Source organism: Homo sapiens, chromosome 5 (genome assembly GCF_000001405.40).
Source record: "Homo sapiens chromosome 5, GRCh38.p14 Primary Assembly".
In the NCBI taxonomy this organism is placed as follows: domain Eukaryota; kingdom Metazoa; phylum Chordata; class Mammalia; order Primates; family Hominidae; genus Homo; species Homo sapiens.
The window spans coordinates 118,495,780-118,517,240 of record NC_000005.10 but is presented as its reverse complement, the minus strand read 5'-3'; the positions used below and the strand labels follow the sequence as shown (position 1 = coordinate 118,517,240).

The 21,461-nt window shown below is 38.0% G+C and overlaps 1 long non-coding RNA gene across 1 annotated transcript in view; it reads left to right on the top strand.

Annotated features, from left to right (window-relative positions):
- LINC02208 (long intergenic non-protein coding RNA 2208) overlaps positions 1-21,461 on the top strand; it is a 211,152-nt gene that overhangs the window by 44,877 nt on the left and 144,814 nt on the right. Inside the window, exon 4 of the long non-coding RNA NR_104610.1 lies at positions 6,177-6,353. This is a non-coding gene — a long non-coding RNA (long intergenic non-protein coding RNA 2208). The remainder of the gene's footprint in view (positions 1-6,176; positions 6,354-21,461) is intronic.

Genomic DNA, 21,461 nt, shown 5'->3' with positions numbered 1-21,461 from the left:
CAGTCAGGGATCTCCCACTTTTCTCTCTCACTCCCACTCTTGCCATGTGAGGCACCTGCTCCCTCTTTGCCTTCCACCATGACCGGAAGCTTCCTGAGGCCCTCACCAGGAGCAGATGCCAGTGCCATACTTCCTGTACAGCCGGCAGAACCATAATCCAATTAATCTTTTACCTTATAAATGACCCAGCTTTAGGTATTTCTTTATTGCAATGCAACAAAACAAAACAAAGAAACAGACTGATACAACATTAAAAACATCATTCACGATGATCAAGTGGTATTCAGCCCAGAAATACAAGAATAATTCAACATATGCAAATCAATAACTGTAACACATTACATTAACAGAACCAAAAACAAAAACCATATGATCATTTCAATAGATGCTAAAAAGCATTTGATAAATTTCAACATCGCCTTATGAACAAAAATCCTCAACAAACTAGGTATAGAAAAAACGTACCTCAGAATAATAAAGACCACATGTGACAAACCCACAGCTAACATAGTACCAAAAAGGGGAAAATGGAAAGCTTTTCCTCTAAGTTCTGGAGTGAGATAAGCATGCCCACTTGCACCACTTTTATTCAATGTAATACCCGAAGTCCTAACCAGAGCAATTAGGAAATAGAAAGAAATAAAGGGCATCCAAATTGTAAAGAAGGAAGTCAAATTAATATTGTTAAAATGACAATACAAACCAAAGCAACTTACAGAGTCAATGCAATCCCTATCAAAATACTAATGACATCCTTCATAGAAATAGGAAAAACAAAAGAATTATATGGAACCACAAAAGACCCTGAATAGTTAAGGCAATCTTGAGCAAAAACAGTAAAGTGGAGGCATCATACTACCTGACTTCAAAATATAATACTAAGCTATAGTAACCAAATCAGCCTGGTACTGGCATAAAAACAGACACACAGACCAGACCAATGGAATAGATTAGAAAACCCAGATACAAATCCATACATTTATAGCCAACTCAATTTCAAGATGCCAAGAACATACAATAGGGCCAAAGGACAGGCTATTCAATAAATGGTGCTGGGAAATCTGGCTAACCATATACAGAAGAGTGAGTCTGGACCCCTAGCTCTCAGAATATATAAAAATCAAATCAAAATGCATTAAAGACTTAAATTTAAGACCCCAAACAATGAAACTACTAGGAGAAAACACTGAAGAAATGCTCCAGTGCATTAACGTGGGCAGATTTTTTTGGAGTAAGACCTCAAAAGCCCAGACAACTAACCAAAGCAAAAATAGACAAATGGGATTATGTCAAGCTGAAAAGCTTCTGCACAGCAAAGGAATCAATCAACAAAGTGAAGAGACAGTCCACAGGAGGGAGAAAATATTTGCAAACTACCCATGTGACAAGAGATTAATAACCAGAATATATAAGGAGTTAAAACAACTCAACAGAAGAAAACAAAGAATCCTATTTGAAAGTAGTCAAAAATATCTGAACAGATATTTTTATTTATTTATTTATTTATTTTTGAGAAGGAGTCTTGCTCTGTCACCCAGGCTGGAGTGCAGCGGCACGATCTTGGCTCACTGCAACCTCTCTCTCCTGGGTTCAATCGATTCTCCTGCCTCAGCCTCCCAAGTAGGTGGGATTACAGGTGGGTGCCACCAAGCCTGACTAATTTTTGTATTTTTAGTAGAATCAAGGTTTCACCATGTTGGCCAGGCTGGTCTCGAACTCCTGACCTCAAGTGATCTGCTCACCTCGGTCTCCCAAAATGCTAGGGTTACAGGCCACCACTGTGTCCGGCCAGAAGAGACATTTTTAAAAAGAAGAATTTCAAATGACAAACAAGTATATGAAAAAATGCTCCATATCACTAATCATCAGAGAAATGCAAATCAAAACTACAATGAGATATCATCTCGCCCCAGTTAAAATGGCTTTTATCCAAAAGACAGGCTGTGGAGAAAGGGGAACCCTTATACACTATTGATAAAAGTGTAAATTAGCACAGCCACTATGAAATGGGGGTTTTCCAGAAAAGTAAAAATTGAACTACTATATGATCCAGCAATTTCATCACTGGGTACATATTCAAAGGAAAGGAAATCAATATATTGAAGCACTATCTGTACTCTCATGTTTATGGTAGTCAAAACATGGAGGCAACCTAAGTGTCAATCAATGGATGAATGGGTAAAAAAAAATGTGGTTTATATGTATATACAATGGAATATTATTCAGCCATAAAAAGAATAAAATCCTGTAATTTGCAGCAGCAGCATGGACGGAACTGAAGGTCATTATGTTAAGTGAAATAAGCCAAACACAGAAAGACAAATATCAGATGTTCTCACTCACATGTGGGAGCTAAAAGAGTGATTTCATGAAGATTAAGAGTAGATTGGTGATTACCAGAGGATGGGAAGGGTGCGGGGAGGGGAGAGGAAAAAGAGAGTTTGATTAATGGGTACAATTATACGGTTTGGTAGAAGAAATAAAACTTAGTGTTTGATAGATCTGTAGAGTGACAATAGTTTACAACCATCTATTATGTATTTCAAAATATCTAGAAGAAAATAATTCAACTGTTTCTAGCATAAAGATAAATTTTAAGGTAATGGATATCTTAGTTTTACTGAATTGATCTTTATATATATTACATGAGTGTATTAAATTATCACAGGTACCCTGAAAATATCTACATCTATTATGTATCAATTAAAAAATTAAAGTAAAAAAAGAGCATCTGAGAAGTGTAGTTTTTCAGCTTCTTGCCTTGACACCCAAAATAAAGTCAGAGTTTTGTAACTAAGCAAGCAGGAGTGAATGGTTCATGGAGAGTCATTTTTAGTCTCTGTTATGACAATCTTTAAAACCCATGACTGCTCTTCAGGAGATGAACTAAGTTGTTAGGTTTATAAAGAATGTAAATGTTCTTATTTTCAATGTATGAATTGGTTATGGAGAGGCTTAGAAAGAATATTCTAAGATATCCTTTCTTCTACTAAGATACTCTTTATTCTTTTCTAAGATATTCTTTATTTTATTCTTTCTGACTATAACAACCTAGGTATAAAAGAATGAAAATTGTAATTTCTGAGAAAGGGTTTATATCATTTGCTTAATATGTATATATTCTATGTTTAATATTATAATATATAATATTCCTCTGGGTGTATAATGGGTGAATGGATATTGGAAAAGCACCTAATATCTCTACTACAGAAGTATAAATTATATTTGTTTTTATTTAAATATAAAGGACTCTAATGGTTCTATGGTTGTATTATATATTATAATATATATTATAAATTATAATTATTAATTATAATATATTGTATATTATTATATATTATTATATAATATACATATATTATATGTATGTATATTATTATATATTATTATATAATATACATATATTATATGTATGTATATTATTATATATTATTATATAATATACATATATGTATGTATATTATATATTATATTATATATATAATATATATACATTATAATATATAATGTAATATATAATGTATCATATATTATAATATATTATATATAATGTATCATATATTATAATATATTATATATTATGTATCATATATTATAACATATTATATATTATGTATTATATATCATAATAATATATATTATTACATATTATATAACATATAATAATATATATAATATAAATTATATATATAATATATAGTATATGATATATTACATATAATGTATCATATATTACATATAATATATAACATATGATATATTATATAAAATATATAATATATAATGTATAATATATTATATAAGATATATAATATATAAAAATATATTTAATAATATATAATTACATATTATACATAATATAATTATACATAATATGTAATAAATTAATAATATATTCAATATTATTCATATATACATAATAGATAATATATTACTAATATAATATATGATATAGTATGTAATAATATATAATATATAATACAATTATAATATATGATTAATTATAATATATGTAATATGTATTATATTATATATTATAAATATATAAACTTATAAAGTATATTTATAAATATATATTATATAAAATACATAATATACATCATATAATATGTATATATTTTATATAATCATATTTATATAAATATGATTAAATAAATATGATTATATAAATAGAATTATAATATGGAAAACATATATGATATATAAATATATAAGCTTATATATCATTTGCAAGTATGGAGAAAAGTAAAAACAAGATTTTAAAGTTTTGGGGGTTTAGCTATGATGTCAATTGTCAAACGGAATTTAGAAAGGTTTGAGTAGCTCAAAGAAAGAAATGAATTTAATTAATACTGAAAAATTTGAGATAGACTTCAAATATATGCTTATGGTCCTGAACTAAGATAGGGAGGAAGCCAGAAATATAGTAAATTATAAGCTACATTTAGAAGTAAAACCAGAGCATTTTTTTGCTAGAGTTGGCCATCTGATTAAGAAGTAAGTCCTATAAAATAAATGAATAAAGGGGAATACTTATAATACAATAGGGTATGTTGGGGATTGTAAGAAACAGGAGAATATAGGCCTTTCCTAAAGGGGCAGCTGCTGCTTGGCTGCAGTCAATTATTGCCATCAAATAAATCAGGCTTGGATATTCTACTTTTGTAAGACAGAAATCTAGAGTTTTACATAATCTTCCAGATTTTTAAATCATTATGCAGGCCAAGCAAATATGTCTGCATGTTGGATTTGTCCAGTGGACAACCAGTTTCCAGCTCTTGATCTAGTTCAAGATCTTTATTTACTAAAACTGTGAGAAATATAGTGACGTGTTCCCGACCACATAGTTCATCAGTGACAGAGCTGGGACAAGAACCCTACCCCTTCACTTTCAGTTATCTCCCTACTGCACCACATCTGAATTGTTTTTTGATAGAGCCTAGAATATTATGCGGAACTGTTTGGTGGAAAGGAATAATCAATGAAATTAGGCATATTATATTTGCGGTTAACTTCAAAAATGCCTAGCACAGAGTTTAGCATTCAGAAGGTATCAATCAATGTTAGCTCAATCTCTATCAGAATTGTTAAACTCATATAAGGCAATGAATAAAATAGAAGGAAAGGTAAAGAAGAAAAAGAGTCATTATCAAGCCTTGGGGAGCCACATAATTAACAGTGGAATCAAGATAATGAATTAGCAAAGACAGCATCCAAGGAGCAGTCAGAAGCAGCCAGGATTGCTTTGTGAATCTCTCCTTTACCTTTGCCCTAATTACAGCTCTAGGCTGTAAATGTTTTAATTTGAGGATAATTGCTAGCCCTTTAATAAACTTTTTTTTTTTTCTAATTATACTGCTGCCTTAAACTTACAGCCTTATAAGAAAGTGTGGTCTTCAGAGAACTTTTTCTTCTTCCATTAATAAAAATTAGATAGATTGATTAATTTTGACTTAAATTTCTAAAACTGTTCAGTTATATCTTGAGATTATCCCACCATTAGTGGTTAAGTGTCTCCATTATAAGTAATTATTGTCATTAAAACAGTTTAACAAGAATAAATGTCCTTTGAAAATCCCCTTTTTGGTACGCTTGTGGCCCTGTATGTCAGAAAGATTCTCTGGATTATCCCAGTACCATAGATCACAAGGTAATTTTTGAAGTGACCAATTCTGTTTTTCCTGTTTTAAAGAGATTAGGCTTTTATTACCATCTCTGATGTAGGTTTTAGTGTGCATAGTGCATTTCTGAGACACTGTTTAAAGTTCTGAGGAGAGAAGTCCCTGGCAACGTAAATTTTTGATTTAATGCTCACGTTAGAATATTGACTAGTGAACATAATGGAAGGACCTTAGGGATCTGGTGGATTCCCTAGGTAATTTGTCTCAGAACTAATTGCCTTTGCAGTGGATTTTGCTTACAGAAGTAATAACCTATATTTATAACTTGTTCTCCTGGTAATTATCTCAGCAGAACTGAAACACCTACAAGGTTAATGATGCGAAGTTAAGGTCACCAACTGGTAATTCTTAAATATTTGATTGGATTTATCTTTATATAAAATAGCCCAACTGAATGGTGAAGAGAGCTAGAATATGGTCATGAGAAGAAGAAAAAAAAGTCTGTTTTTTTATCTGTTTAACCATGCCCTTATGCCTTTTTTCTTTTCTTTTTAGTCCCAAGGCACGTAGATAGTACCTATACATCTCATCAGGAACATGGATGGTTCTCTGCTATCAGCTGAAGTGCTGTGACCACAAAACTGAAAATTCCCATTCTGTGTCCTTGCCAATAAAGAATGTCCATCAGAGCACGCCCAGTATCCTAGCTCCTTATCCAGACTGTGCTTCTCAGTAAGTACACAGAGCCTGATTTTAATGTCTTCACTCAGCCCTGGTTTCCACCATTTTCAGTGAAAGAAAAATTCTAATGAAAGGCTAATAAATGATGTGCAAATGGCTAATATTCTTGCAATTTGCATTGGTTGTCTTTTGGACTCTGTTGAGATTATTTTGGGTAGACTGAACATAGCTCTGTACTGCAAGTCGGGGACAGAAGAGAGAAATATATGACCCCACTACCTAGATGGGAGTTTCTGGCATTGCAGGGGCAAATATTTCGAAGATCAAAGTTATCCTTGATCACAGATTTTTGAAAACAAGTCCAGAGCTCTCAGAGTGGACCAACCCCCACCCACTGCCCTGCCAAACAAAAACAAGATCATTTTCTCTCTCCTCTGGGTCCTAAGAAATGAGATATCTATTTGGGATGCTGCAGGAAATATTCCAGGTTCTAAACATTTTTGGGGTCAGAGTCCCATTTGATAATCTGATAAAAATTATGAACATTTTCATCAGAAGAAATATCCATAAAGACACATACACAGAATTTTGAAAACATGTAGGTTTTCTTACAAAAACATGAGTGTTCCCTAAATATTATCTAGATTGTTTAGGGATCCTGGACTCAGGTTAAGAATCCCTGGGACTCTCAGGATAATTACGGAAATTTGCCTTGGACTTCTATGTAATTCATGTTCCCCAACTACACCTACCTAATCTTATATATGGACGTTAACAATATTAATGGTAATAACCTGTACTATGTGGCTTTTGTGTCATTCTGCCAATTCAGGAGTTCTATCTCCTGTGAAGTCCTTTCTCTTACCCAACTGGTTACATCTAAAGTCCTCAAGATGTTTCAGTTGTGTTTATGAACATGGCCAGACAGTGGTCACATACTGACCTCTGGGTACTGATGCCCCCTCTGCTGGATATCTCTAATTCCCCTGTGTACTGCCGACTCTGTCAGGAATCCATACCCAGCCTGCACGTCTTTGCCACTTCTGCTGGGGCCTGTGGTGTTCTCCGTTTGCTGATGTGTTGGAGTTTTGGGGGCCAAGGCTGTGTTTCCATAATTTCAACAATTCCAGGAACAATTTTGGAGAAAATGCTTTTCTCCTCTCTGTGGAACTGTTATCACAAAGAAATAATTAAAATTATTTATCTTTATATAAAAGAAACCATCTAATAAAAAATTAGCCAGTTTCTTATGAGTTCTGATTTGAATGCTTTTAGCAAGACAGGACTTTTGACTTTTATTTCCAATTTCTCCCTCCTTGCCATAGACCCTTGCTGCTGGACTGAAGGGCAAACCCAAGGGACCTCAGATTGCACTCAGAATCCTCAATCTTCTCCCATGGCTGAAGTTTGTCTCTGGCACAATGGTGTTTGCCTGACTCACACTCCCTTTGGGAGCTCCTCATGCAAATACTGTTCCAGAAGATCTGCACATCAATTTATTGAGACACTCAGAATTGCTGCCCATCAAAGAATGGACTCTGCATAGGTTTAGATTAGGAAACTCAGAAACATCAATACTTAAGCATAATTAGACAACAGTTGGAGCTTAGGCAGACTATTTTGAGGGGATCTTTTGCAGAACTCTTCCAGATCTCTGTGGTGTCCCTCCAAAGACAAACTCTTTATAATTCTACTCTGTCCCACATCGAAGCCAGTGCAGTATTGAAAAATGGCATTAAGAAAACTTTAGGCTTTTACTGGAAACAAGCACCTTCTTTATTGTAAATAACTCCATATAGACCTGTAATAAGTTAGAATCAGAATGATCTTTCTGTCATGATTCCATTTTTTATACAACTCATGTGCCTCAAACTCCACAGGAGTCAATAATTTATGACTCTGAAATAATACTGAATTTCAAAGCTTAGTATGCAGTGTATGGAAAAAATGCCTCACCATTTTTCTTGCTGTCATTTGAAGGCACAGTAGCAGATGCATCACAACATTGGAGATACATTCTGAAAATGCCAATATCTCCATCAGTTATAGATTTGTCATAATTAATGCTGACGGCTCCTGCTGTACCATTGTATTCTTCATTCACACCATTAGTCCTCTCTTTGACATGCTGGACTGTGTTCAGCCATCTTGGTGTGGCTCTCTCCCCATGGTTCTACATGCCCTCTCCTTCAACTTTCTCCCATGTCCACTGACTAGTCCTCAGACCAAGCAGGGAATTTCCAGACCAGTCCCTTTGTCTCATGAACTTTCTTTCTCTTTGCTTCTTCTCCCCCTCCATGACAATTACATTTTCTCTCATAAACAGACATGATAATGTTGAAGATATATAACATTTTGAGGGAGTTTTAGAATACTAATTTTTGGGGTCAACTTGGATGTGAAGATAAAGTGAAAACTATGCCTTTCCTGCAGTTGATATAATTTTCTCATGAGGCTTGTCCCCTTTAGGTATATGTGTAGGGTGGGGTCAATGTTGGTGGAAGAGGGGAATTCTGAAGTGCCAAAAAAGTATTTGTCTCCTTAATGATCTCTTTTGTATGTTATTCTCTTACAGGTAAAAGCTCCATTTTCAGATTTTTGCTCCCTCCTCCAGCTCCTTTCTAAGATGGCATGTTGCTATATGTAGGAGGAGGGTCTTCTGTCATTTCATATCATTGGGACAGGGGACTGCATTGTCTGCCAGGTATCCTCTGGATCCTCCCTGTTCTGATAGGCCTGTTGTACACTGAAGTGCCTCTCATACCACCTGGAGTTCTAGAAATAGGTGTTGTCACTGATTGCTGAAATCTGCGATCTGGTCATTTTCTTTTGATTAAGAAATCCTGCCTACTTCAGCATGTCCTGACTCCATGTCTCTGCCAATCCAGCAGGTCTCTGAGTGCCTGGGCATGCTGTCCGCCAGATATGCAGAACTCCATGATCCCTTGAAGCCATGTGAAGGTGGAGGAAAGCCGGGAGCAGAACCTCAGGCTCATCTATTTTTTCATCCCTCTCTGCCAGGGCACCTTACTCCTGTGCCATGCTGGATGTGGCACCAGTCACATGCCAGGCTGCTCCTAGAAGCTTGCAGGTTTTCTTGGGCCTCCCAAAGGAGGCCAACCACTGCCTGAGTGTCCTTGTGTTCCCCCCACCCCACCATCACCTCTGTCTTCTAGGGTTTTCACCTTCAGTTGGGAAGTAGGTCACATGCCTCTGGCTGTGTTTTCCTGCTTGGCTTCTCCTTCCCTGTTTTCTTCCTGCCACAGAGGGTTTCTTTTATTTTCTCTCCCAGTCTGGAAGGAATTTTCTCTGGGGTGATAATGGCAGACAGGCTTCCAGATATCATGATTCAAGGTGGTAGAGAATGGGGAGAGACAAAGAAAAACCCTATTATTTAAAAATTTTCAAAATAGCACCCCTGAAAATAAAATTATATAACTGAAACTCGTGTTCCCCAAACCACTTATCATCCTTGAAGAAAAATGGGGATCATATGAATAGTAATAAGTACTCTTGTTCTGGCTCTCATCTTCATCTTTGATTTGGGGCCTCTAACCCCACTCAAAGTTTTCTGCGTTTATTTCTATGATTCTTCCTCACATATCCCTCTAAACAATGTGAGCATGTGGCCAACCCACTTCCTTATCTTTTGCTACCTGAAAAGCCCTGTACATCCCTTCATGTGGATGCAGGTGATTTGGGTGATGATGCTCTTGTCAAGGATACTGCCTCCAGTCACTTGAGAATAGGCTGCCAGGCCAGGAACGGTGGCTCATGCCTGTAATCCCAGTACTTTGGGAAGCCAAGGCAGGCAGATCGACTGAGGTCATGAGTTGGAGGCCAGCCTGGCCAACATGGTGAAACCCCATTTCTACTAAAAGAGCAAACATTAGCTGGGCATGGTGGCAGGTTCCTATAATCCCAGCTACTCAGGAGGCTGAGGCAAGAGAATGGCTTGAACCCAGGAGATGGAGGTTGCAGTGAGCCGAGATCATGCCACTGTACTCCAGTTTAAGTGACAGAGCGAGACTTTGTCTTAAAAAAGAAAAAGAAAAGAAAGAAAAAAAGAGAACAGGTTGCCCTCTGCTGCTCTGGAAATGCTTGGTGCTGGGTCCCTGGGGAACCTGACTGCTGTAGTTGTGCTGCCACTGCTAATGGGGAGGGCCATGCCTTCTCTTGTGGCCGCTTCTTAGCTGTCATGGCTGCACTTATGATGTGCAGGGCCCTGCCCGCACTGGGCTATCAGGAAGTGGCAAGGAGGTCTTTCTCCCTAGTGTACTAGTCATATTCTCATAAAGTCTCTTGGGAATTTTTGAGTGTAAAAAGCTTATTTTGTATTAACTTGCCACTCTTTCAGTTCCATTTTTGGGCTACAGTAGAGGGCAAACACAATTTTGTTATGCTAAAAATGTAAGCTTGTTGTTCCTCTTTCAGTGACTGGGGTGTTGCTATTGGGTTAAGCCTGCGACCCATGCTTTCTCTTCCAGGATACATTTTTGTGTGCATTTGGTCTTGGGAGTGCCCTTTATTCCTTATGCAAATGTGTAATTTGCAGGCCCTTCCAGCCGACTTTTCAGACACTGTCACAGTGGTGGTAAAATTTATGCTTAATATGAGGCTCCTACTTCCACATATAATTTAAATAATTTAAAGATTTACAGTTTTTTATTTAATTCTGTAAATGAACCAAGTAATGTCTTGTAAATCTTCTGGTCTCTTGTTTCTTGGGTTGCCAAATGGTTTCTGCAAATTATAGAAACCCTTGAAATGTTTGAACCCTTTTATTGCTCCCGCATTCAATAATAATGAAAGTGGTTGGATATAAATAGTATCTTTTGTGGAAGAGTCTCTTTTAGGTAAATGCTTGTCTTTCAGATTTTTTACCTTCCTTTATATGACTTTTGTATGACTTTTCAAAAAGTTTTTTGCTTTCATATTAGAGAAATGTGAATTAAATATGAACCACCCTCCTTCCTATTTAGGATCCTAAAGGATCTTTTGAGAGATTGTGCCATCTATCCTGGTTGACTTGCACAGAGCCATTCTCAGCTAATGTGTGGGCTCCTGGCCATAAAAGCAGAAACAAGTAAGAGTCAAGTATTCCTTTAGCAAAATGATGCCTGTTATTTCTCAAGATTCTAAAGAAGTTGCTTTAAAATGATCTAGATATGAGGAGTATATTGTCTTCATGTGAGACGAGTACATTGAGCATCCCTAGAATAATTAATTAATTAATAATTAATTAATTTCTACTTGGATAAGATGTGCTTGCCCTTAGGGAAAAAATAAGAACAAGCAAGGACTATTTATTTAGAGCTTATAAGATGTGCTTGCCCTTAGTTAGGGAAAAAATAAGAACAAGCAAGGACTATTTATTTAGAGCTTTCTGTAACTAGGGAGTCACCCACCATCACTTGCATCTTGGCAGAGAAACAAAAGGCAGCAGAAGAGTGGGAAAGTTTTATAGAAGAAAAAAAAAGAGAAGGACTCAGGTATTCCCTGACTGAAGGTTGTTGGGAGGGAAGCTGTAGGCAGGTAACTAGAAGTGGAGATCGTATGTAATTGGTTGGGGGTGCCTATTTGGCTTTCTCTGGTTGATTCTAAGTTGGAATCAAGAACAAAAATTAGGGAAGCAGTCAGTTTTTAATCAAGTTCTGGGCTATTACTGGGGTTATTGTTTGGCTTCCTGAATTGGCTGCTAGAGATAGTGGTTTGATTTTCTACAAGTCTGACTTATAGTTGGTTGACTTCCTGGCTGGTTACTATAGATAATGGATTAGTTTCCTGAGCTGATTTTTGCAGATTGCAGGTGAGTGTTCTATTTTATATGTGGTCTGGCCATTTTTGTTTTTGTATTCAGTTTCCATTCCATTAGTGGGCATCAAACAAAATCAGACTACATACTGATTCCTTTTACACATTTACAGTACCAGAGCTCATCCATCTTCTTTGGAGCCAGCAAAAGCTTCAAGCAGAATAAAATCTACATGAACTTCCAACTGAGGTTGAAGCCATCAGAATTTGCAAGAAACAATTAGGAATCGAGTGCTGATATTACTCAAATGAAGCAGGGTAGGGTTTCCTGGAGGAAGGAGGTAGGATGCTTATCAGGAGACAGTTGCTCATAGATAGGCTGAGAGAAGATTATGTGGAAGAGGTGGGGAGAAGAGGGAGTCAGTGAAGGAAGAAGCATACAGAGGGGGAATTCTCCCAAGTCTTAAATCCTAACCGTCTGGATCCTCCTTGAGTTGCTGTGAGAAAATGGGATAGGAATAGAGCTGCAACTCCCAATCTTCTCCCTCCTATTTGCTTTGTGCTAGTTTAATGCCTCAATACAAGAACTGATCATCCCTGCATTTCAGCGTGGGTTCTAAGAGGATGGCTACAGTGATTCTCAAGAAGAAAAATGTCCTGATCAGCTGGTTGAGCCCGGATAAGGAAGGATTGAGGGCTTTCCATAGTTCTTCAACTAATGAAGACTATTAGATGGAAAAGTCTACAGGAAAGCAGGCATCTTTGCTGAGCAGGAGACAGGCTCCTTGCCAAAGCAAGGAGAAACCAGACCATGTGGGCAATATTAAGACCACCCTCTAAAACAGGCCAAACCAATAAATTAACAGCCCCAATTAAAGCTAGTCTAAAGATCAAACTTTCCCCATATTGTGATTCAGTACTTATTGGAGCATAGATTACCCACACACATTGATGATTTCTCAACTCTAACTTTGATAGAGGACTTGAAACAAAGCATTGAGCCAGATTTATTAACCTTTGATGGTGTGTTAGGCCATTCTTGCATTGCTAGCAATACCTGAGACTGGGTAATTTATAAAGGAAAGAGGTTTAATTGGCTCATGGATCTACAGGCTTTACAGGAAGCTTAGTGCTGGCATCAGCTTGGCTTCTGGGGAGGCTTCAGCAAGCTTACAGTCATGGCAGAAGGTGAAGGGTGAGCAGGCACTTCACATGGCCAGAGCAAGAGCAAGAGAGAGAGGGGGGAGAAGTGCTACACACTTTTAAAAGACCAGATCTCCAGAGAACTCACTCACTATTGCACCAAGCCATGAGGGATCCACCCCCATGACCCAAACACCTCTTACCTGGCCCCACCTCCAGCTTTGAGGATTACAATTCATTTGGGCGGGGACAAACATCCAAACTACGTCACAAGGGTAGGATTTCTTTGTTGAATATAGTTTTTACTGATAGAAAAATATCTTTCCCTGGCCAGGTGTGGTGGCTCATGCCTGTAATCCCAGCACTTTGGGAGGCCGAGGTGGGTGGATCAACTGAGGTCAGGAGTTTGAGACCAGCTTGGTGAACATGGTGAAACCCCATCTCTACTAAAAATACAAAAATTAGCTGGGTGTGTTGGTGGATGCCTGTAATCCCAGCTACTTGGGAGGATGAGGCAGGAGAATAACTTGAACCCAGGAGGCAGAAGTTGCAGTGAGCCGAGATTGCGCCACTGCACTCCAGCCTGGGTGAAAAGACTGAAACTCTGTCTCAAAAAAATAAAAAAAAAGGAAAAAAAAAGAAAAAGAAATATATCTTTCCCTAAGTAGAGTGGCCCTAATATCTAAAGCACTAAACTTCTCACAAATAGATATTGTAGGATGATCTTTTTCATGGTGAAAATATTTATTTGATTTACTCAATCAGAAGAAGATTTCTTGGGATTAATCAAATTTTTTTAGGGTTTGATACAGTGAATTATTAAAAGACCCCAGTTATTTAGATATTTAAGGGCTCATGTTTATGCTTTAAGTGCTTCTGAAATATGGTTGTTAATTTATATAGCCCTATTGTGATGTGACTATAGCTTTTATAACAAAAAAGGTCATACTTTTTTATAGCTCAAGGAGTTTTCATACTAGATTAAATAAAGTTTAATTCAGATGACAAACTTGAGAGTGAGGACAATGCTGTTTGAATAGTACTTTTAAAAATGGAACTATTCCATACATATGTTTGGAATACACATCGCAGAGTCATCAGCACAAGTTACCATAAATAGCACACAAATGGGGGTGGAGCCAAGATGGCCAAACAGGAACAGCTCCAGTCTACAGCTCCCAGCGTGAGCGACACAGAAGACCGGTGATTTCTACATTTCCAACCGAGGTACCGGGTTCATTTCACTGGGGAGTGTTGGACAGTGCGTGCAGGACAGTGGGTGCAGCCCACCGAGCATGAGCCGAAGCAGGGCGAGGCATTGTCTCACCTGGGAAGTGCAAGGGGTCAGGGAATTCCTTTTCCTAGTCAAAGAAAGGGGTGACAGCACCTGGAAAATCGGGTCACTCCCACCCTAATACTGAGCTTTTCCAACGGTCTTAGCAAACGGCACACCAGGAGATTATATCCTGCACATGGCTTGGAGGGTCCTACACCCACGGAGCCTTGCTCATTACTAGCACAGCAGTCTGAGATCAAACTGCAAGGCAGCAGTGAGGCTGGGGGAGGGGCGCCAGCCATTGCCGAGGCTTGAGTAAGTAAACAAAGCGGCTGGGAAGCTCGAACTGGGTGGAGCCCACTGCAGCTCGAGGTGGCCTGACTGCCTCTGTAGACTCCACCTCTGGGGGCAGGGCATAGCCAAACAAAAGGCAGCAGAAACCTCTGCAGACTTAAATGTCCCTGTGTGACAGCTTTGAAGAGAGTAGTGTTTCTCCCAGCATGCAGCTTGAGATCTGAGAATGGACAGACCGCCTCCTCAAGTGGGTCCCTGACCCCCGAGTAGCCCAACTGGGACACCCCCCAGCAGGGGCAGACTGACACCTCACACGGCCGGGTACTCCTCTGAGACAAAACTTCCAGAAGAGCGATCAGGCAGCAACATTTGCTGTTCACCAATATCCGCTGTTCTGCAGCTTCCACTGCTGATACCCAGGCAAACAGGGTCTGGAGTGGACCTCCAGCAAACTCCAACAGACCTGCAGCTGAGGGTCCTGTCTGTTAGAAGGAAAACTAACAAACAGAAAGGACATCCACACCGAAACCCCATCTGTGCATCACCATTATCAAAGACCAAAGGTAGATAAAACCACAAAGATGGGGAAAAAACAGAGCAGAAAAACTGGAAACTCTAAAAATCAGAGTGCCTCTCCTCCTCCAAAGGAATGCAGCTCCTCACCAGCAATGGAACAAGGCTGGATGGAGAATGACTTTGACATGTTGAGAGAAGAAGGCTTCAGACAATCAAACTACTCCGAGCTAAAGGAGGAAGTTCGAACCCATGGCAAAGAAGTTAAAAACCTTGAAAAAAAATTAGATGAATGGCTAACTAGAATAACCAATGCAGAGAAGTCCTTAAAGGACCTGATGGAGCTGAAAACCACGGCAAGAGAACTATGTGACGAATGCACAAGCCTCAGTAGCTGATTTGATCAACTGGAAGAAAGGGTATCAGTGATGGAAGATCAAATGAATGAAATGAAGTGAGAAGAGAAGTTTGGAGAAAAAAGAGTAAAAAGAAACTAACAAAGCCTCCAAGAAATATGAGACTATGTGAAAAGACCAAATCTACGTCTGATTGGTGTACCTGAAAGTGACGGGGAGAATGGAACCAAGTTGGAAAACACTCTGCAGGATATTATCCAGGAGAACTTCCCCAATCTAGCAAGGCAGGCCAACATTCACATTCAGGAAATACAGAGAACACCACAAACATACTCCTCAAGAAGAGCAACCCCAAGACACATAATTGTCAGATTCACCAAAGTTGAAATGAAGGAAAAAATGTTAAGGGCAGCGAGAGAGAAAGGGCAGGTTACCCACAAAGGGAAGCCCATCAGACTAACAGCTGATCTCTCGGCAGAAACTCTACAAGCCAGAAGAGAGTGGGGGCCAATATTCAACATTCTTAAAGAAAAGAATTTTCAACCCAGAATTTCATATCCAGCCAAACTAAGCTTCATAAGTGAAGGAGAAATAAAATTATTTACAGACAAGCAAATGCTGAGATTTTGTCACCACGAGGCCTGCCTTACAAGAGCTCCTGAAGGAAGCACTAAACATGGAAAGGAACAACCGGTACCAGCCACTGCAAAAATATGCCAAATTGTAAAGACCATGGAGGCTAGGAAGAAACTGCATCAACTAACGAGCAAAATCACCAGCTAACATCATAATGACAGGATCAAATTCACACATAACAATATTAACCTTAAATGTAAATGGGCTAAATGCTCCAATTAAAAGACACAGACTGGCAAATTGGATAAAGAGTCAAGACCCGTGAGTGTGCTGTATTCAGGAAACCCATCTCATGTGCAGAGACACACGTAGGCTCAAAATAAAAGGATGGAGGAAGATCTACCAAGCAAATGGAAAGCAAAAAAAGGAAGGGGTTGCAATCCTAATCTCTGATAAAACAGACTTTAAACCAACAAAGATCAAAAGAGACAAAGGCCATTACATAGTGGTAAAGGGATCAATTCAACAAGAAGTGCTAACTATCCTAAATATATATGCACCCAATACAGGAGCACCCAGATTCATAAAGCAAGTCCTTAGAGACATACAAAGAGACTTAGACTCCCACACAATAATAATGGGAGACTTTAACACCCCACTGTCAACATTAGACAGACCAACGAGACAGAAATTTAACAAGGATATCCAGGAATTAAACTCAGCTCTGCACCAAGTGGACCTAATAGACATCTACAGAACTCTCCACCCCAAATCAACAGAATATACATTCTTTTCAGCACCACACCACACCTATTCCAAAGTTGACCACATAGTTGGAAGTAAAGCTCTCCTCAGCAAATGTAAAAGAACAGAAATTATAACAAACTGTCTCTCAGACCACAGTGCAATCAAACTAGAACTCAGGATTAGGAAACTAACTCAAAACTGCTCAACTGCATGGAAACTGAACAACCTGCTCCTGAATGACTACTGGGTACATAACGAAATGAAGGCAGAAATAAAGATGTTCTTTGAAACCAATGAGAACAAAGACACAACATACCAGAATCTCTGGGACACATTCAAAGCAGTGTGTAGAGGGAAATTTATAGCACTAAATGCCCACAAGAGAAAGCAGGAGAGATCTAAAATTGACACCCTAACAACACAATTAAAAGAACTAGGGAAGCAAGAGCAAACACATTCAAAAGCTAGGAGAAGGCAAGAAATAAGTAAGATCAGAGCAGAACTGAAGGAAATAGAGACACAAAAAACCCTTCAAAAAATCAATGAATCCAAGAGCTAGTTTTTTGAAAAGATCCACAAAATTGATAGACTGCTAGCAAGACTAATAAAGAAGAAAAGAGAGAAGAATCAAACAGATGCAATAAAAAATGATAAAGGGGATATCACCACTGATCCCACAGAAATACAAACTACAATCAGAGAATACTATAAACATCTCTATGCAAAGAAACTAGAAAACTTAGAAGAAATGGATAAATTCCTCGACACATACATACACCCTCCCAAGACTAAACCAGGAAGAAATTGAATCTCTGAATAGACCAATAACAGGATCTGAAATTGAGGCAATAATTAATAGCTTACCAACCAAAAAAAGTCCAAGACCAGATGGATTCACAGCCGAATTCTACCAGAGGTACAAGGAGGAGCTGATGCCATTCCTTCTGAAACTATTCCAAGCAATAGAAAAAGAGGGAATCCTCCCTCACTCATTTCATGAGGCCAGCATCATCCTGATACCAAAGCCTGGCAGAGACACAACCAAAAAAGAGAATTTTAGACCAATATCCTTGATGAACATCGATGCAAAAATCCTCAATAAAATACTGGCAAACTGAATCCAGCAGCACATCAAAAAGCTTATCCACCATGATCAAGTGGGCTTCATCCCTGGGATGCAAGGCTGGTTCAACATATGTAAATCAATAAATGTAATCCAGCATATAAACAGAAGCAATGACAAAAACCACATGATTATCTCAATAGACACAGAAAAGGCCTTTGACAAAATTCAACAACCCTTTTTGCTAAAAACTCTCAATAAATTAGGTATTGATGGGACGCATCTCAAAATATTAAGAGCTATCTATGACAAACCCACAGCCAATATCATACTGAATGGGCAAAAACTGGAAGCATTCCCTTTGAAAACTGGCACAAGACAGGGATGCCCTCTCTCACCACTCCTATTCAACATAGTGTTGGAAGTTCTGGCCAGGGCAATCAGACGGGAGAAGGAAATAAAGGGTATTCAATTAGGAAAAGAGGAAGTCAAATTGTCCCTGTTTGCAGATGACCTGATTGTATATCTAGAAAACCCCATCGTCTCAGCTCAAAATCTCCTTAAGCTGATAGGCAACTTCAGCAAAGTCTCAGGATACAAAATCAATGTACAAAAATGACAAGCATTCTTATACACCAATAACAGACAAACAGAGAGCCAAATCATGAGTGAACTCCCATTCACAATTGCTTCAAAGAGAATAAAATACCTGGGAATCCAACTTACAAGGGACATGAAGGACCTCTTCAAGGAGAAGTACAAACCACTGCTCAATGAAATAAAAGAGGATACAAACAAATGGAAGAACATTCCATGCTCATGGGTAGGAAGAATCAATACTGTGAAAATGGCCATACTGCCCAAGGTAATTTATAGATTCAATGCCATCCCCATTAAGCTACCAATGACTTTCTTCACAGAATTGGAAAAAACTACTTTAAAGTTCCTATGGAACCAAAAAAGAGCCCTCATTGCCAAGTCTATCCTAAGACAAAAGAACAAAGCTGGAGGCATCATGATACCTGATTTCAAACTATACTACAAGGCTACAGTAACCAAAACAACATGGTACTGGTATCAAAACAGAGATATAGACCAATGGAACAGAACAGAGCCCTCAGAAATAATGCCGCATATCTACAACTATCTGATCTTTGACAAAGCTGGCAAAAACAAGAAATGGGGAAATATTCCCTATTTAATAAATGGTGCTAGGAAAACTGACTAGCCATATGTAGAAAGCTGAAACTGAATCCCTTCCTTACACCTTATACAAAAATTAATTCAAGATGGATTAGAGACTTAAATGTTAGACCTAAAACCATAAAAAGCCTAGAAGAAAACCTAGGCAATACCATTCAGGACATTGCTTTGAATTCATGTGATTGTTACCACTAGGTAAGTCAGGACACACTGTTGTTCTCTCTTATGTCCAGTTCCACCAGCTGGCTCGCTGATGATTTCAAAATCACAGTTTCCCTACCCAAACACATCTTTTCCTTCACTGCCCACCTGGTTTTTCAAACTCTGATGTGATAAGCTTAAGAGGTTTATTAATCTTTATTTCTATTTTTTTTGCATCTATTTCCTAATGTATTAATTCCCAATCACTTATTATAGTTTTTAAATTTGTCCTTTTCAATATTCTAATTGTCTCTACTCTGGTAGGTAGTTATGTTACATTAAGATCATTACAGTGGTCTCCTGGCAAGTCCTGCTGCTGGCAGTATCTCCCTAAAATAACTTTTATTAGGACAATATTCTGCTTAAGGTCCAGAATGCTTATGGGTTAAATCAGTTGAGTGTTGTGTTCTTGATCTCTCACCAATGAGCCCCACTGTTGAGCTTGCTTTGTTTCCCTGCCCCCTCCATTCTGACCCCTGCACCTGGATAAAACTTTTCTTGACTCCATGCCCCATAGCGTGAGATGTTCTCCCCTCTGCTCTGCTATTATAATCCCACCAGCCAGGCACGGCCCAACCCAATGCTCATATTCACCAAGAACTCTTTCCAATCAAAATCTAGTCCACAGAAGTCTCTTCCCTACTCCAATTTTTTATTTCACCATAAAACCAGCATTGTCACAGAGCTTCACCAATTGGAGAAATACTTTTATATATGGTCCATGCTACTACCTAGTATTACCAGAATGCCTTCAATCGATTTCTTAGGTGTCTATTTGTCCTATCTCCACAACTAATGGTCAAACTTTTTTTTCTATTTATTAATTTTATCTGAATTGCAGAGACTTTTTTCCTACACTTTGGGTTGAAATGAGTGGTCAGTGCAGGACTAAGCACAGATTAGATTTTTATTTAATATTTAAGGGACAATGAATTCTTCATCTAGAGATAAGGGATTCAACTGGTAACAGAAATGATAATAAAACAGTTTTATATAATGACAAATAAATTAAGCTAAATGATTTTACTTGAATCAAATCACTGAAACTCAGGAAAAAATACAAACTGTAGTAAATCAACAGAGACAAAATACATGTATCATCTATTTCATGGATTAGAAAATGAATCAGTTGGATTATTTTGCTTTGTTTTCAGAATATATGACAAGCAATAATTTTCTATTTGTGAGAGATATTCAGTTCTGAACTTTCTGATTTATTTGTCATACACTCGTAAAAATATGCTTATTGGCTTGGTTGAAAAAATATTAAAGAAGTTTTTAATCAAAAACGGGTTCTTGATAAGACTTTAACACATAAACATATGAAACCATTTTATAGATTTTTAAAAAGCAGCCTTGTGGAAATCAAAAAATTGTTCATATGGGAAGGTCTATAACTCAGCATTTCTAAAAATATGTTAGGCTCCTCCACATTACAAGGAACAAAACATTTTCAGCAATCTCATTTAGTGGTGTTCTCTGGGAAGGATAGATACAGAAGTAAAGGAGGCAATGAATGGTTTCTATAAGTGAAGATAGGCCCAAAGGAGAACTGGGGTATTGTGCAGTCTCCAGCAACTATAGTCATCCTTGCCGATGCTATGGTGTCCCTGCCACTTCTGTCTGCCAGTCACTACTGAACAGTATCTCTTAACTCTCCTCTCTAACTTATGGATTCTACTTACTGATAACTTCTGCTGCCAATTTGTCTCTATTGCTTCCTAGCTTCTGTCTTCTACTCTGTTCTTCCTGTATCTCTCCTCTTTCTTTTTTTTTTTTATTATACTTTAAGTTTTAGGGTACACGTGCACAACGTGCAGGTTTGTTACATATGTATACATGTGCCATGTTGGTGTGCTGCACCCATTAACTCGTCATTTAACATTAGGTATATCTCCTAATGCTATCCCTTCCCCCTTCCCCCACCCCACAACAGGCCCCAGTGTGTGATGTTCCCCTTCCTGTGTCCCTGTGTTCTCATTGTTCAATTCCCACCTATGAATGAGAACATGCGGCGTTCGGTTTTTTGTCCT